A 15,413-nucleotide genomic window follows, 5' to 3' on the forward strand; every position below is an offset into this window, starting at 1 on the left:
GTCACATGGACACAGGAAGGGGAATGTCACACTCTGGGGACTGTTGTGTGGTGGGGGGAGGGGGCAGGGATAGCTTCGGCAGATATACCTAATGCTAGATGACGAGTTAGTGGGTGCTGAGCACCAACATGGCACATGTAAACATATGTAACTAACCTGCACAATGTGCAGAGGTACCCTAAAAATAAAAGCATAAAAAAAAAACCAGACAGAAGTATTCTCAGAAAATTGTTTGTGATGTGTGTACTCAATTAACAGAGATGAACCTTTCTTTTGATAGAGCAGTTTTGAAACACTCTTTGTAGAATCTGCAAGTGGATATTTCGAGAGCTTTGAGGATTTCGTTGGAAAGGGAATATCTTCATATAAAATCTAGACAGAAGAATTCTCAGAAGCTTCTTTGTGATGTTTGCATTGAAGTCACAGAGTTGAACATTCCCTTTCATAGAGCAGGTTTGAAACACTCTTTTTGTAGTATCTGCAACTGGACATTTGGAGCGCTATTTGGCCTATAGTGAAGAAGGAAATATCTTCCCATAAAAACTAGACAGAAACATTCTCAGAAACTTGTTTGTGATGTGTGTAATCAACTAACAGAGTTGAACCTTTCTTTTGATAGAGCAGTTTTGAAACACTCTTTTTGCAGAATCTGCAAGTGGATATTAGGATAGATTTGAGGATTTCGTTGGAAATGGGAATATATTCATATAAAATCTAGACAGAAGCATTCTCACAAACTTGTTGGTGATGTGTGTACTCAACTAACAGAGTTGAACCTTTCTTTTGATAGAGCAGTTTTGAAACACTCTTTTTGTAGAGTCTGCAAGTGGATATTTGGATAGATTGAGGATTTCGTTGGGAAAGGGAATATCTTCACATAAAATCTAGAAGGACGCATTCTCAGAAACATCTTCATGATGTTTGCATTCAAGTCACAGAAGTGAACATTCACTTTCCTAGAGCAGGTTTGAAACACTGTTTTTGTAGTATCTAGAACTGGACACTTGGAACGCTTTGTGGCCTATGGTGAAAAAGGAAATATCTTCGCATAAAAACTAGACAGAAGCATTCTCAGAAACTTGTTTGTGATGTGTGTACTCAACTAACAGAGTTGAACCTTTCTTTTGATAGAGCAGTTTTGAAACACTCTTTTTGTAGAATCTGCAAGTGGATATTTGGATAGCTTTGAGGATTTCGTTGGAAACGTATTATATTCATATAAAAAGTGGAAGCATTCTCAGAAACTTCTTTGTGATGTTTGCATTCAAGTCACAGATTTGAACATTCTCTTTCATAGAGCAGGTTTGAAACACAATTTTCGTAGTATCTGGAAGTGGACATTTGGAGCGCTTTGAGTCCTACTGTGAAAAAGGAAACATCTTCCCATAAAAATAAACAGAAGAACTCTCAGAAACTTGTTTGCGATGTGTGTACTCAACTAGCAGGGTTGAACGTTTCTTTTGATAGAGCAGTTTCGAAACAGACTTTTTGTAGAATCTGCAAGTGGTTATTTGGATAGCTTTGAGGATTTCGTTGGAAATGGGAATATCTTCATATAAAATCTATACAGAAGCATTCTCAGAAACATCTTTGTGATGTCTGCATTCAAGTCACAGAGTTAAACATTCCCTTTCATAGAGCAGGTTTGAAACACTTTTTTTGTAGTATTTGGAAGTGGACATTTGGAGAGCTCTGTGGCTTATGGTGAAAAAGGAAATATCTTCCCTTAAAAACTACACAGAAGCATTCTCAGAAACTTGTTTATTATGTGTGTACCCAACTAATAGAGTTGAACCTTTCTTTTGATAGAACAGTTTGGAAAAAATCTTTTTATAGAATCTGCAAGTGGATATTTGGATAGCTTTGAGGATTTCGTTGGAAATGGGAATGCCAATATAAAAAGTAGACAGAAGCATTCGCAGAAACTTCTTTCTGATGTTTGCATTCAGGTCACAGATTTGAACCTTCCCTTTCATAGAGCAGGTTTGAAACATTCTTTTTGTAGTATCCGGAAGTGGAAATTTGGAGCGCTTTGAGGCCTGTGGTGAATGAGGAAACATCTTCCCATAAAAACTAGACAGAATCATTCTCAGAAACTTGTTTGTCATGTTTGTACTCAACTAACAGAGTTGAACCTTTCTTTTGATAGAGCAGTTTTGAATCACTCTTTTTGTAGAATCTGCAAGTGGATGTTTGCATAGCTTTGAGGATTTCGTTGGAAATGGGAATATCTTCGTTTAAAAAGTAGACAGAAGCATTCTCAGAAACTTCTTTGTGACGTTTCCATGCAAGTCACAGAGTTGAACCTTCCTTTCATAGAGCAGGTTTGAAACACTCTTTTTGTAGTATCTGGAAGTGGACATTTGGAGCACTTTGAGGCCTATTTTGAAAAAGGATATATCATCCCATGAAAACTAGACAGAAGCATTCTCAGAAACTTGTCTGTGATGTGTGTACTCAAGTAACGGAGTTGAACATGTCTTTTCATAGAGCAGTTTTGAAACACTCTTTTTGTAGAATCTGCATGTGGATATTTGCATAGATTTGAGAATTTCGTCGGAAACGGGAATATCTTCATGTAAAATCTACACAGAAGGATTCTCAGAAACATCTTTGTGATGTTTGCATACAAGCTCCAGAGTTGGACATTTCCTTTCATAGAGCAGGTTTGAAACACTCTTTTTGTAGTATCTGTAAGTAAACAATTGGGGCGCTTTGAAGCCTATGGTGAAAAAGCAAATATCTTCCCATAAAAAGTTGACAGAAGCATTCTCAGAAACTTGTTTGTTTTGTGTGTACTCAGCTAATGGAATTGAAACTTTCTTTTGAGACATCAGTTTTGAAACACTCTTTTTGTAGAATCTTCATGTGGATATTTGCATAGCTTTGAGGATTTCGTTGGAAACGGGAATAGCTTCATTTAGAAAGTAGACATAAGCATTCTCAGAAATTTCTTGGTGATGTTTGCATTTAAGACACAGAGTTGAACATTCCTTTCATAGAGCAGGTTTGAAACACTCATTTTGTAGTATCTCAAAGTGGACATTTGGAGAGCTTTGTGGCCTGTGGTGAAAAAGGAAATATCTTCCCATAAAAACTAGACAGAAGCATTCTTAGAAACATGTTTGTGATGTGTGTACTCAACTAACAGAGTCGAACCATTCTTTTGATAGAGCAGTTTTGAAACACTCTTTTTGTAGAATCTGCAAGTGGATATTTGGAGCACTTTGTGGTCTATGGTGGAAAAGGAAATATCTTCACATGAAAAACTAGATAGAAGCATTCTGACAAACTTCTTTGTGATGTGTGCATTCCTCTCACAGAGTTTAACCTTACTTTTCATTGAGCAGTTTTGAAACACTATTTTTGTAGTATCTGGAGGTAGACATTTGGAGTGCCTTGAGCCTTATTGTGGAAAAGGAAATATCTTCACATAAAAACTAAGCAGAAGCATTCTGACAAACTTCTTTGAGTTGTATGCATTCATCTCACGGAGTTGCACATTTCTTTAGATTGAGCAGCTTTGATACACTCTTTTTGGAGAATCTGTCAGTGGACATTTGGAGCACTTTGAAGGCTATAGAAGAAAAGAAAATATCTTCACATAAAAACGAGACAGAAGCATTCTGACAAACTTCTTTGTGATGTGTGCATTAATCTCACAGAGTTGAACCTTACTTTTCATTGATCAGTTTTGAAACACTGTTTTTGTAGAATCTGTAAGCGGACATTTGGAGCAATTGGAGGCCTATGGTGGAAAAGGAAATATCTTCATATAAAAAGTAGACAAAAGGCACAGCACCGCCGCAGGCACCGGGAGGTGCAGAGCACCGCCCCAGGCGCTGGGAGGCACACAGCACCACCACAGGCCCAGTCTCCACTCCCCAGCTGTGAAAGGATCACTGACTGAACCCCCAAGGTAGCCCACCAGGCCTCCATAGAGCTGCCCAGCATGGCCATGGCCAGTACCAAGAGTCGGTGGGAGACGGGTGAGGTACAGGCTCAGTCTGCGGCCAAGACTCCGTCCTGCAAGATGAAGGTAATGAAACAGAAGTGCAGCCACAACAAAACAGCCAGTTAATGTGGAAACAAAGTCGACAACTACTCAGACAAAGGTATTTCACTTTCTCCAGATTACCACAGAAGACAGCTCTGTGGATCCTCCTCAGATGAGATGATTTAATATGGTACTGGGGAAATGAGAAGCCATACGAGCACAAGTGCTCCCTGAGGGTGGGCCACCACTCCGGCTCATCTTCCATAATCGTCACTGCAAATTGTAGCCTGGGAACGCTCCAGCTATATTTCAGCTCGCCTTCGGGGATCGCCGCCTCCGAAGCACAACAACAAGCAATGCAGTCTGTCCATGGACCTTCGCAGAGACTCTCAGCACCTCCCGCCTCTCAGCAGAAATGCCCAACAGAATGGTCAGGACCAGCGAGCATGTGCACCTTAGCTGGTCCCGAGCAACAGGCCCGAGGTGGAGAAACCGCCCTAGCAGCTCTCTCGTGGCACCCAGTGCAGGCGGCGATTGCTGCTCAGGTGCCTCGGGCTGGCGGGGCTCCCTGGAGCATGAGGCACACCCTGCCCCAGGGCCTGTTTGACTGTCGCCCACGTGCTCTTCTCCTCTTCCACTGGCTCCCGATGCTCGGAGCCCCCCACGCTGGGCCCTCTGCAGCCCAGGGATGGGATTGAGTGGTGCTTCTCCGCCTGGTGCTGCCACTGGGACCACAGCCCTACTTCGTCACTGCGTCACCCCTGGGGTCTGCGCTGATGGGCGTGAGGTGGGAGGATGGGATCTGGGGTTGCCACCGCTGCAGCCAGCGCACCACTTGCAGGTGGCAGCTTCAGCTTGAGCTCTGGCAGAGGCTGGCGGGGTTCCCCTGGGATGGCCTCCTGGGCCCTGAGTGCACCACCCATCTGGCCAGAGGGTGCATGCCTCCTGCACCCCGGGCCAAAACCCATGTCCGGCGCTCCTGCCGCAGACTACCTGACTTGCCGCGGCTGGGCTGGCCCCCGGGGTCTGCGCGGCTGGAGGCGCTAGCCTGGTCGGGGATTCCCAATCCTCAGTGACCCCTGCTCCATGTGCTGGTGGCAGCTGCAGCTGCAGTGCCCGTGGGCTGACGTGGCTTCCCGGAGCTGCAGTGGCTTCCCGGAGCTGCGGCTGGCCATGCCCAAGGGCCCCACAGGCTGTGCTGCCCTTGCCAGCTGCTCCTGACCCATGCCCAGAGCGCAGGACCTGGCACTTGGCACCCTGCAGTCACGGGGTTGAGGCTGAGTGCCGGTTCTCGGCCTTGTGGTGCCGCTGGGGACACAGTCTGACTTCACCTCCCCGTCGCCCAAGTCTTGTGATGGGCACGTGTGAGGACGGGCAATCGGGGTTCCCAAGGCTGCTGCCTGCATGCCACTCCGTGGCCACTAGGATAGGGCTGAGGAGCCGCCAGGGGATGAGCACATCGTGGCCATAGGGATGGGGCTGAGAGTCTATCTTTATCGTTATGCACCTGCCCAGCCGACTTCCTGACAGCCACTACTGCAGCATCCTGTCAGGGATTCCTTGCTGTTGACGTGGGGATGGGGAGGGCATGGAGAATCAGGGATGGTCTGGCCATTGCTGCTGGTGCCTGATGTGCGGGTGGCAGCTGCACCTAGGGCACGGGCTGGTAGGTCTTCTCTTTTGGATAGTTTCCAGGTGGCCCATTGCACTGTGACCAAGCCAGAGGGTCCACTCCACCTTAGCCCACACTAGGAGTCCAGGGGCTACAGTTGTGGGTACTGTGTGGCCAACCAGAAGGGGCTCAGCAGCCAGTTCAGCTTTCCTGCTTTTGCAGGGCTTTCTTAAATTTTTTTTATTTAACATTTTCTAAAAATATATACAAAAAGAAGCATATCAAACATATTAGGAAGGTTGCACACAGGAAGATGGGGAATAGAAATGGGGGGTGGGAATGAAAGAAAATAAATGAGAGAGGGACTTTGTATTGATCAATGATAATAACTCAATCCTCTATGTCTTTGACAAGAAGGAGAAGGAAGAGGAAGAAAAAGAAAGTGGGATAAAGGATCAGAAAGGGAGGAAAATAGAAAAATTTAGAGTATGACTCCAGGGTAGACCTGTTTTGTTGTTGCTGGGTTGGTTGATTGGTTGTTTGGTTTGTTGTAATTTTCATATGTTTTGCCATGTTGACCAGGCTGGTCTCGAACCCCTAGCCCCAAGTGATCAACCCACCTTGGCCTCCCAGAGTGTTGGGATTACAGGCGTGAGCCACCACGTCCAGCCCCCACACTGCGTCTGGCCTCTGTGGTAGACCTCCCAGACAGGGTGGCCAGGCAGAGGCGCTCCTCACTTCCCATATGGGGCGGCCGGGCAGAGGCGCTCCTCACTTCTCAGACGGGGTGGCCAGGCAGAGGAGCTCCTCACTTCCCAGATGGGGCGGCCGGGCAGAGGCGCTCCTCACATCCCAGACAATGGGCGTCCAGGCAGAGGCACTCCTCACGTCCCAGATCCACAAAAGAAGTGAAAATAGCCTTAACTGATGACATTCCACCATTGTGTTTTGTTTCTGCTTCACACTAACTGATGTATTTTGTAATCTCCCCCACCCTTAAGAAAGTTCTTTTTAATCTCCCTCACCTTTGAGAAGGTTCTTTGTAATTTGTAATTCTCCCCACCCTTGAGAATGTACTTTGTGAGATCCAACTCCTGCCCGCAAAACATTGCTCCTAACTCCACTGCCTATTCCAAAACCTATAAGAACTAATGATAATCCAATCACCTTTTGCTCTCTTTTTGGACTCAGCCCACCTGCACTCAGGTGAAATAAACAGCCTTGTTGCTCACAAAAAAAAAAAAAAATAGACAAAAGCATTCTGACAAACTTCTTCATGATGCATGCATTCATCTCACAGAATTGAACCTTTCTTTTGATTGAGCAGCTTTGAAACACACTTTTTGTAGAATCTGCAAGTGTACATTTCGAGTGCTTTGAGGCCTATAGTAGAAAAGGACTTATCTTCACATAAAAACTGGACAGAAGCATTCTGAAAAACTACTTTGTGATGTCTGCATTCATCTCAAAGAGTTGAACCTTACTTTTGATTGGTCAGTTTTGAAACACCATTTTTGTAGAATCTGCAAGTGTGCATTTGGAGCGCTTTGAGGCATATGGTGGAAAAGGAAATATCTTCCCAACAAAACTAGACAGAAGCATTATGAGAAACTTCTTTGTGATGTTTGCATTCATCTCACACAGAGTTGAACTGTTCTTTTAATTGAGCAGCTTTGAAACCCTCTTTTTGTAGAATCAGCAAGAGGACATGTGGAGCCCTTTGAGGCCTATGGTGGAAAAGGAAATATGTTCACATAAAAACTAGACAGAAGCATTCTTACAAACTTCTTTGAGATGTGGTCATTCAGCTCACAGTGTTGAACCTTTCTTTACATTGAGCAGCTTTGAAACACTCTTTTTGTTGAATCTGCAAGTGGACATTTGGAGCACTTTCTGGCCTATTGTGGAAAAGGACATATCAACATATAAAAACTAGACAGAAGCATTCTGACAAACTTCTTCGTGATGTGTGTATTCATCTCACAGAGTTGAATCTTTCTTTTCATTTAGCAGTTTTTAAACACTCTGTTTGTAGAATCTACAAGTGGACATTTGGAGCACTTTGAGGCCTATGGTGGAAAAGGAAATATTTTCACAAAAAAACTAGACAGAAGCATTCTGATAAATTTCATTGTGATGTGTGCATTCATGTCACAGAGATGAACGTTTCTTTTGATTGAGCAGCTTTGAAACATTCTTTTTGTAGAATCTACAACTGGACCTGTGGAGTGCTTTGGGGCCTATCATGGAAAAGGAAATATCTTCACATAAAACCTAGACAGAAGCATTCTGACAAACTTCTTTGTGATGTGTGCATTCATCTCACAGAGTTGAACCTTACTTTTCATTGAGCAGCTTTGAAACACTCTTTCTGTAGAATCTGGAAGTGGACATTTGCAGCACTTTGAGGCCTATGGTGGAAAAGAAAATATCTTCACATCAAAACAAGACAGAAGCTTTTTGAAAAACTTCTTTGTGACATGTGCATTCATCTCAGAGAGTTGAACCTTTCCTTTGTTTGAGCAGCTTTGAAACAATCTTTTTGTAGAATCTGCAAGTGAACCATTCGAGCGTCTTGGGGTCTATGGTGGAAAATGAAACATCTTCACATAAAAACTAGACAGAAAAATTCTGAGAATCTTCTTTGTGATGTGTGCATTCACCTCACAGAATTGAACGTTACTTTTCATTGAGCAGTCTTGCATCTCTCTTTTTGTAGAATCTGCAAGTGGACATTTGGAGCGCCTTGAGGTCTCTGGTGGAAAAGGAAAGATCTTCACATGAAAACTAGACAGAAGCATTCTCACAAACTTCCTTGTGATGTGTGCATTCATCTCCCAGACTTGAAACTTTCTTTTGATTGAGCAGCTTTGAAACACGCTTTTTGTAGAATCTGCAAGTGGACATTTGGAGCACTTTGAGGCCTATGGTGGAAAAGGGAATATTTTCACATAAAAATTAGACAGATGCATCCTGACAAGCTTCTTTGTGATGTGTGCATTCATCTCACAGAGTTGTAACTTTCTTTTGATTGAGCAGCTTTGAAACACTCTTTTTGTAGAATCTGCAAGTGGACATTGGAGCACTTTGAGGCCTATTATGGAAAATTAAATATCTTCACATAAAATCTAGACAGAAGCATTATGACAAACTTATTTGTGATGTGTGTGTTCATCTCATAGAGTTGAACCTTTCTTTTGATTGAGCAGTTTGGAAACACTCTTTTTGTAGAATCTGCAAGTGGACATTTTGAGCACTTTGAGGCCAATGTGGAAAAGGTAATATCTTCATATAAAAACTAGATAGAAGCATTCTGAGAAACTTCTTTGTGATGTGTGCATTCACCTCCCAGAGTTGAATCTTTCCTTTGAAGGACCAGTTTTGAAATACTCTTTTTGAAGAATCTGCAAGTGGACATTTAAAGCGCTTTGTGTGCTATGGTAGAATAGGAAATATCCTCACATAAAATCTAGACAGAAGGAATCTGAGAAACTTCTTTGTGATGTGTGCATTTATCTCACCATGTTAAACCTTTCTTTGGATTGAGCAGTTTTGAAACTCTCATTTGTAGAAGCTGCAAGTAGACCTTTGGAGCGGTTTGAGGCCTATCCTGGAAAAGAGAATATCTTAACATAATAACTAGACAGAAGAATTCTGAGAAACTTCTTTGTGATTTATGCGGTCATCTCACAGAGTCGAAACTTTCTTTTATTTAGCATTTTGGAAACAATCTTTTTGATGATTCTGCTAGCGGACCTTTGGAGCGCTTTGCAGCCTATGGCAGTAAAGAAAATATCTTCACATAAAATCTAGACAGAAGGAATTTGAGAAACTTTTTGTGATGTGTCTATTCATCTCACAGAGTTAAACCTTTCTTCTGATTGTGCAGTTTTGAAACTCTGTTTTTGTAGAAAACGCAAGTTGACATTTTTAGCACTTTGAGGCCTATGGTGTAAAAGGAAATATCTTCACATAAAAACTAGACAGAAGATTTCTGAGAAACATCATTGTGATGTGTGCGTTCATCTCACAGTGTTGAACCTTTCTTTTGATTGAACAGTTTTGAAACACTGTTTTTGTATAATCTGCAATTGGACATTTGGAGCGCTTTGCTGTCTAAGGTAGAAAAGGAAATATCTTCATATAGCATCTAGACTGAAGCAGTCTGAAAAACTTCTTTGTGATGTGTGCATTCATCTCACAGAGTTAACTTTTTCTTTTCACTGAGCAATTCTGAAAATCTCTTTTTGTAGAATCTGCAAGTGGACTTTTGGGGCGCTTTGAGGCCTATGGTGGAAATAGAAATATCTTCACATAAGAACTAGACAGAAGCATTCCGAGATGTTTCTTTGTGAAGTGTGAATTCATCTCACAGAGTTGAATTTTACTTTCAATTGAGCAGTTTTGAAACACTCTTTTTGCAGAATCTGCAAGTGGACATCTGGAGTGCTTTGAGGTCTATGGTGGATAACGAAATATCTTCACATAATAACTAGACAGAAGCATTCTCAGAAACTTCTTTGTGATGTGTGCATTCAACTCACAGAGTTGAACCTTTCTGTTGTTGGAGTAGCTTTGAAACACTCCTTTCATAAAATCTGCAAGTGGACATTGGGAGCGCTTTGAGGCCTCTGGTGGAAAAGAAAACATCTTCACATAAAAACTAAACAGAAGCATTCTGTCAAATTTCTTTGTGATCTGTGCATTCATCTCACAGAGCTGAGCCTTTCTTTTCATTGAGCAGTTTGGAAATGCTCTTTTTGTACAATGTGCTTGTGGACATTTGGAGCACTTTTAGGACTATGGTGGAAAAGGAGATATCTTCAGATAAAAACTAGACCAAAGCATTCTGACAACCTTCTTTGTGATATGTGTATTCATCTCACACAGTTGAAACTTACTTTTGATTGGGCAGTTTTGAAACATCCTTTTTGTGGAATCTGCAGGAGGATATTTGGAGGGCTTTGATGCCTATTGTGGGGCCTATTGTGGAATAGGAAATATCTTCACATTAAAACTAGATAGAAACATTCTGAGAATCTTCTTTGTTATGTGTGCATTAATCTCAGAGAGTTGAACCTTTCTTTGATTGAGCAGTTTTGGAACACTCTTTTTGTACAATCTGCAAGTGGATGTTTGGAGCGCTTTCAGGACTATTGTGGAAAAGGAAATATCTTCAAATAAAAACTAAACAGAAGCATTCTGAGAAACTTGCTTGAGATGTGTTCATTCATCTCACAGAGGTGAACATTTCTTTTGATTGAGCTGTTGGAAACACTCTTTTTGTAGAATCTGCAAGTGGACATTTGGAGTGCTTTGTAGCCTATGGTAGAAAAGGTAACATCTTCACATAAAATATAGACAGAAGCAATCTGAGAAATTTTTTGCGATGTGTGCACTCAGCTCAGAGAGATAAACCTTTCTTTTGATTAAGCAGTTTTGAAACTGTCTTTTTGTAGAATCTGCAAGTGCACATTTGGAGCGCTTTCAGGCCTATTTTGGAAAAGGAAATATCTTCGCATAAAAACTAGACAGAAGAATTCTAAGAAACTTCTTTGTGATGTGTGCGTTCATCTCAGAGAGTTGAACCTTTCTTTTGATTGAGCAGTTTGGAAACACTCTTTTTGTACAACCTGCAAGTGGACATTTGGAGGGCTTTGCAGCCTATGGTAGGAAAGGAAATATCTTCACATAAAATCTAGACAGAAGCAATCTGAGAAACTTCTTTGTGGTGTGTGCATATATCTCAGAGTTAAACCATTCTTTTTATTGAGCAGTTTTGAAACTCTCTTTTTGTAGAATCTGCAAGTGGACATTTGGAGCGATTTGAGGCCTATGGTGGAAAAGGTAATATCTTCACATAAAAACTACACAGAAGAATTCTGAGAAACTTCTTTGTGATGTGTGTGTTCCTCCCACAGAGTTGAACCTTTCTTTTGATTGAGCAACTTGGAAATACTCTTTTTGTAGAATCTGCAAGTGGACATTTAGAGCATTTTGCGGCCTATGGTGGAAGAATAAGTATCTTCACATAAGAACTAGACAGAAGAATTTTGAGAAACGTCTTTCTCATGTGCTCATTCATCTCACAGAGTTGAACCTTTCTTCTTATTGAGCAGTTTGGAAACACTCTTTTTGTAGAATCTGCAAGTGGACATTTGGAGCGATTTGCTGCCTATGGTAGAAAAGGAAATATCTTCATATAAAATCTCGATAGAACTAATCTGAGAAACTTCTTTACGATGTGGGCATTCATCTCACAGAGTAAAACCTTTCTTTTGATTTAGGAGTTTTGAAACTCTCTTTTTGTAGCATCTGCAAGTGGACATTTGGAGCGCTTTGAGACCTGTGATGGAAAAGGAAATATCTTCACATAAAAACTACACTGAAGAATTCTGTGAAACTTCTTTGTGATGTGAGCGTTCGTCTCTCAGAGTTGAAACTTTCTTTTCATTGAGAAGTTTGGAAACACTCTTTTTGGAGTATCTGAAAGTGGACATTTTGTGTGCTTTGCGGCCTATGGTAGAAAAGTAAATATCTTCATATAAAATCTAGACAGAAGCAATCTGAGAAACATTTCTGTTATGTGTGCATTCATCTCACAGAGTTAAACCTTTTTTTGATTGAGCAGTTTTGAAACTCTCTTTTTCAAGAATCTGCAAGTGGACATTTGGAGTGCATAGAGGCCTATGGTGGAAAAGGAAATAACTTCACATAAAAACTAGACAGAAGAATGCTCAGAAACTTTGTGATGTGTGTGTTCATCTCACAGAGTTGAATCATTCTTTTAATTGAGCAGTTTGGAAACACTCGTTTTGTAGAATCTGCAAGTGGACATTTGGAACGCTTTGCAGCCTATGGTAGAAAAAGAAATATCTTCACATAAAATCTAGAAAGAAGCAATCTGAGAAACTACTTTTGTGATGTGCGCATTCATCTCACAGAGTTAAACCTCTCTTCTGATTCAACAGTTTTGAAACTCTCTTTTTCTAGAATCTGAAAGTGGACATTTGGGGCACTTTGAGACCTGTAGTGGAAGAGGAAATATCTTCACATAAAAACTAGACAGAAGAATTCTGAGAAACCTCTTTGTGATGTGTGCATTCATCTCACAGAGTTGAACCTTTCTTTTGATTGAGCAGTTGGAAGCACTCTTTTTGTGGAGTCTGCAGGTGGATATTTGGAGGGCTTCGAGGCCTGTTGTGGGGCCTATTGGGGAATAGAAAATATCTTCACATTAAAGCTAGACAGAAGAATTCTGAGAAATTTCTTTGTGATGTGTGCATTAATCTCACAGAGTTGAACCTTTCTTTTGATGAGCAGTTTTGAAACACTCTTTTTGTAGAATCTGCAATTGGATGTTTGGAGCGCTTTCAGGATTATTGTGGAAAAGGAAATATGTTCAAATAAAAACTAGACAGAAGCATTCTGAGAAATTGTTTGTGATGTGTTCATTCATCTCACAGAGTTGAACTTTTCTTTTGATTGAGCTGTTGGAAACACTCTTTTTCAAGAATCTGCAAGTGGACATTTGGAGCGCTTTGTGGCTTATGGTAGAAAAGGAAACATCTTCACATAAAATCTAGACAGAAGCAATCTGATAAATTTTTTGTTATATGTGCATTCATCTCAAAGAGGAAACCTTTCTTTTCATTGATCAGTTTTGAAACTCTCTTTTTATAGAATCTACAAATGCACATTTTTAGTGCTTTGAGGCCTACGGTGGAAAAGGAAATATTTTCACATAAAAACTAGACAGAAGAACTCTGAGAAACTTCTTTGGAATGTGCAGGTTCATCTCACAGAGTTGAATCTTTCTTTTGATTGAGCAGTTTGGAAACACTCTTAGTAGAATCTGCAGTTGGACATTTGGAGCACTTTGCGGTCAATGGTAGAAAAGGAAATAACTTCACATAAAAGCTCAAGAGAAGCAACCTGAGAACTTCTTTGTGATATGTGCATTCGTCTCACAGAGTGAAATCTTTCTTTTGAGTAGTTTTGAAATTCTCTTTGTAGAATCTGCAAGTGGACATTTGGAGCACTTTGAGGCCAATGGTGGGAAAGGTAATTTCTTCCCATAAAAACTAGACAGAAGAATTCTGTGAAACTTTTTGTGATGTGTGCATTCATCTCACAGAATTGAACCTTTCTTTTGATTTAGCAGTTTGGAAACACTCTTTTTGTAAAATCTGCAAGTGGACATTTGGAGCATTTTGGGGCCTATGGTAGAAAAGGAAATAGCTCTACATAAAAAATAGACAGAAGCAATCTGAGAAACTTCTTTGTGATGTATGCATTCATCTCACAGAGTTAAAAGTTTCTTTTGATTGGCAGTTTTGAAACGCTTCCTTTGTAGATTCTGCAAGTTTACATTTGGAGCGCTTTGAGGCCTATGGTGGAAAAGGAAATATCTTCACATAGAAACTAGAAAGAAGAATTCTGAGAAACTTCTTTGTGATGTGTGCATTCATCTCACAGAGTTGAACCTTTCTTTTGATTGAGCAGTTTGGAAACACTCTTTTTGTAGAATCTGCAAGTGGACATTTGGAGCGCTTTGCGGCCTAAGGTAGAAAAGGAAATATCTTCACATAAAATCTAGACAAAAGCAATCTGAGAAACTTCTATCTTATATGTGCATTCATCTCACAGCGTTAAATCTTTCTTTTGATTGAGCAGTTTTGAAACTCTTTTTTTGTAGGATCTGGAAGTGGACATTTGGAGCAGTTTGAGGCCTGTGGTGGAAAAGGCAATATCTTCACATAAAAACTAGACAGAAGAATTCTGAACAACATCTTTGTGATGTGTGCATTCATCTCATAGTTGAAACTTTCTTTGAGCAGTTTGGAAATACTCCTTTTGTAGAATCTGTCAGTGGACATTTGGAGCGCTTTGAAGCCTATGGTAGAGAACAAAATATCTTCACATAATATCTAGACAGAAGCAATCTCAGAAACTTCTTTATGATATGTGCATTCACCTCACTGTATTAAACCTTTCTTTTGATAGAGGAGTTTTGAAACTCTCTTGTTGTAGAATCTGCAAGTGGACATTTGGATCAATTTGTGGCCTATGGTGAAAAAGTTAATATCTTCACATGAAAACTAGACAGAAGAATTCTGACAAACTTCTTTGTGATGTGTGCATTCATCTCACACAGTTGAACCTTTCTTTTGATTAAGCAGTTTGGAAACACTCTTTTTGTAGAATCTGCAAGAGGACATTTGGAGTACTGTACATTCATCTCACAGAGGTAAAACTTTCTTTGGATTGAACAGTTTTGAAACACTCCTTTTGGAGTATCCGCAAGTGGACATTTGGAGCGTTCTGAGGTCTATGTTGGACAACGAAATATCTTCACTTAAAAACTAGACAGAAGATTTCTGAGAAACTTCTTTGTGATGCATGTGCTCATCTCACAGAGTTGAATCTTTCTTTGGATTGAGCAGTTTGGAAACACACTTTTTGTACAATCTACAAGTGGAAATTGGAGCTCTTTGTGGCCTACAGTAGAAAAGGAAATATCTTCAAATAATATCTAGACAGAAGCAGTCTGAGAAATTTCTTTGTGATGTGTGCATTCATCTCACAGAGTTAAACGTTTCTTTTGATAGAGCAGTGTTGAAGCTCTCTTTTTGTATAATCTACAAGTGGACATTTGTAGCGCTTTGAGACCTATGGTAAAAAAGGAAATATCTTCATATAAAAACTAGACAGAAGAATTCTGAGAAACGTCCTTGTGATGTGTGCATTCATCTCACAGAGTTGAACCTTTCTTTCGATTCAGCAGTCTGGAAACACTCTTTT

The 15,413-nt window shown here is 40.7% G+C and overlaps 4 annotated features.

The window, feature by feature from the left end:
• Positions 1 to 837: an enhancer, noted in NCBI's record as "OCT4-NANOG-H3K27ac-H3K4me1 hESC enhancer chr9:66832750-66833586 (GRCh37/hg19 assembly coordinates)". NCBI's record gives its function as "activates a minimal SCP1, AML or CMV promoter by ChIP-STARR-seq in primed H9 embryonic stem cells {active_cell/tissue: H9 hESC(primed)}" and the evidence as "EXISTENCE:reporter gene assay evidence [ECO:0000049][PMID:30033119]".
• Positions 838 to 1,673: an enhancer, noted in NCBI's record as "OCT4-NANOG-H3K27ac-H3K4me1 hESC enhancer chr9:66833587-66834422 (GRCh37/hg19 assembly coordinates)". NCBI's record gives its function as "activates a minimal SCP1, AML or CMV promoter by ChIP-STARR-seq in naive and primed H9 embryonic stem cells {active_cell/tissue: H9 hESC(naive and primed)}" and the evidence as "EXISTENCE:reporter gene assay evidence [ECO:0000049][PMID:30033119]".
• Positions 1,674 to 2,509: an enhancer, noted in NCBI's record as "OCT4-NANOG-H3K27ac-H3K4me1 hESC enhancer chr9:66834423-66835258 (GRCh37/hg19 assembly coordinates)". NCBI's record gives its function as "activates a minimal SCP1, AML or CMV promoter by ChIP-STARR-seq in primed H9 embryonic stem cells {active_cell/tissue: H9 hESC(primed)}" and the evidence as "EXISTENCE:reporter gene assay evidence [ECO:0000049][PMID:30033119]".
• Positions 10,851 to 11,592: an enhancer, noted in NCBI's record as "OCT4-NANOG hESC enhancer chr9:66843600-66844341 (GRCh37/hg19 assembly coordinates)". NCBI's record gives its function as "activates a minimal SCP1, AML or CMV promoter by ChIP-STARR-seq in naive and primed H9 embryonic stem cells {active_cell/tissue: H9 hESC(naive and primed)}" and the evidence as "EXISTENCE:reporter gene assay evidence [ECO:0000049][PMID:30033119]".

Source organism: Homo sapiens, chromosome 9 (assembly GCF_000001405.40).
Source record: "Homo sapiens chromosome 9, GRCh38.p14 Primary Assembly".
In the NCBI taxonomy this organism is placed as follows: Eukaryota; Metazoa; Chordata; class Mammalia; order Primates; family Hominidae; genus Homo; species Homo sapiens.